The following is a 2,567-nucleotide window of genomic DNA, read 5'->3' on the forward strand; positions in this document are numbered from 1 at the left end:
AATCTGTTCGGGCCCACTGTCTGTACTTTGGCTTAAGGACTTGGTGTTATTCAGCGCCTATGAATCATTTCTGTGTTAGCAACACTGAGTGCTGTCTGTAAAACACTAACAACATAGAGACATTCAAAAATACATAGATAATACTATTTCTGAAAGAAAATGAGTTCTACATATCTAACATCTGATTATTAGAACAAAACATTCACATACGGTATATATCTTTCTCTGATAATAAGCAGGGGTTATCAAGAAGAAAAAATTCACCAAAACACAGATGCATCTTGTATATTAAAGCTTCTTTTTTTAGAGACAAATTTATTTTAAGATACAAGCCAATTGGCAATTGATACCAAAATGCCAAGTTTTTAAATTAACAAATAGTTATATTAGTATCGAGAATAATATATCCTAATGGAGATAAAGAAAATATAAGGATTAGTTATAAGTCCAGCAAAGAGATATATTGGGGAAACTAATATAATTTTTTTAAAAAAATGCTGTCTCTATAGGCGCACTTTCATTTTCATGGAGACCTTCATCTTACTTTTCTTGGTTAGTTGTTATCTCTGGAAAAACTCTGGAAACACTGCCATGACTTGCCAAATGTTCCAAAATTACAGAAGAATTTCAATGTCCTTACCAACTAAGGCAGAGTTTTTAAAAAATACAGAAAGAGGATATAATATAGAATATAAAGACTACGGAAGTAGTTTATTTTGACAAAGTATTATTCAGGAAATTTGATGTACTTAGGTTCTGAAACTTAAAAATCTATTTCTTTTATCTCTCATGAAGATCCCCTTTGCCACTCATGTGACAAATGAAGTTTAAATATTTTGTATAATTGCCAATATCCTGGTGAGAAGCCTTTATAACAAATGTGTTCACTCTCTCCATTAAGGTTTACACCACTATGAGCCTGATGTACTATTGATCGGTTTTTACTGTGGTTGCCAAAATCCTTCTGCTAGAGCAATTTCCTGTAATTGTACTTGTACAACAAAGCTAGTGACATTTGAGGGTGAGGGCAAGAATTAAAAAGATAAAACATTTTTGAGGCTCTAAATATTCCCAGTAATTTGAGAATTAGGTTATCATTAAATAAAATATAGTCTTTTCAAGTTAAAAATGCAAACCTTTCTATTTTAAATTTATCCACAGAGGCAGGCTCTGTTATTATAGCTTGTTATTATTTTAATCATTAATAAAACTATTTTGAGTTGAAAAAATTAGGTTGATCTGCTTTGACCTCACTTATACTCATGTCACTACTCTCACTATAGATTTAGCGGACAAGATTTTCTATGCACTCTATCTAGAGAAAAATGATATGTTTGAAGACAAAGAATCTATATCTTCATGCTGAGTTATAAAGGCGGCCCTTTCAAAGAAAAAAAATTACTCTTAAAACTGGGTTTCAAGTCAATATCTAAGTTTATGAAAAATAATTTCTATTAATCCTCTGAGCTAGGGATTTTGAAAAAGCATACAAATGAATTCAAAAAGTAGAAAGAGGGATAATGCATGATGATGTAAGGAAAGAAACACCATCCTAAAAGAGGATTACATTTTACACAGTTGATGAGAATGGGAGGGAGCATACCTGAATTAAAATGTGAATGTGAAGTTCTTAATCCCTGAGTCTGGGAGGAGACAATAAAAATACAATGAACTGCCCATTAATGTTTGGGAATCCTAGAAAAGAGGAATTGTTGTCCAGCTCCTTAAGATGTCCTCTAGAAAGACTGCCGGGGCATAAAGAGATCCATATGCTGTGCGTCAGCAGTGACTGAGCTGAGAATCTAAACAGATAGGCCTGAGGAGCTTTCAGAGTTTCCTGGATTCTAAATAGGAATATGAAGATATCTGTAATGGGCCATTGTATCTGGATAATTTTGATAATTTTCATCATCAAGATTAGGAAAAAATTAAGTGGATGCTTGGGACATGTGACTCTGTCATGTAGGAATACATGCATATTTCAATATGAACGTGGCATGCTAAGTAACTTCTGATTATATAATGTGTTTGGCAAAATTGTGGCTTATAACAGCATTAATCCATTTATTCTCCTCACAATCCCAAAATTTGGAAAGGGCTCAGATGGCAATTTTTATTCTATATGACAACACTGGAGGTAGTTCTACTTGGCTGTCAATATGGCTCAGACATAGAGCTAGTACATTGATGTTGGCTGCTGAATGATACCTCAGCTGGAAAGATTAATTTCCCTTTTTTCTGGAAATTTCCACCTAGCTGTTTGGGCTGTTTTTTTTCCTCGTTGGAATGATAGCTCTGTTTTAGTGATGAGTGCTCCAAGAGGCTTGGTGAAAGCTAAAAGTCTTTTTGTAACTTAGCCTTATAAATTCCATCTATTACCTCTACCATATTCTATTGCTCAAGCAAGCACTAAAGTCAGCCATTTTCAAGGGGAGTAGAATTTGATTCTAATAGTCTAAGTGAAGAGTGGCAAAAAGTTTGTGGTCATCTTTCTTCACAACTAGTCACAGTTTACTCTCTGACCACAAATTAATTATATTCCTTCACATGCAAAATGCATGTAATCT

Source organism: Homo sapiens, chromosome 18, assembly GCF_000001405.40.
Source record: "Homo sapiens chromosome 18, GRCh38.p14 Primary Assembly".
Taxonomy (NCBI): domain Eukaryota; kingdom Metazoa; phylum Chordata; class Mammalia; order Primates; family Hominidae; genus Homo; species Homo sapiens.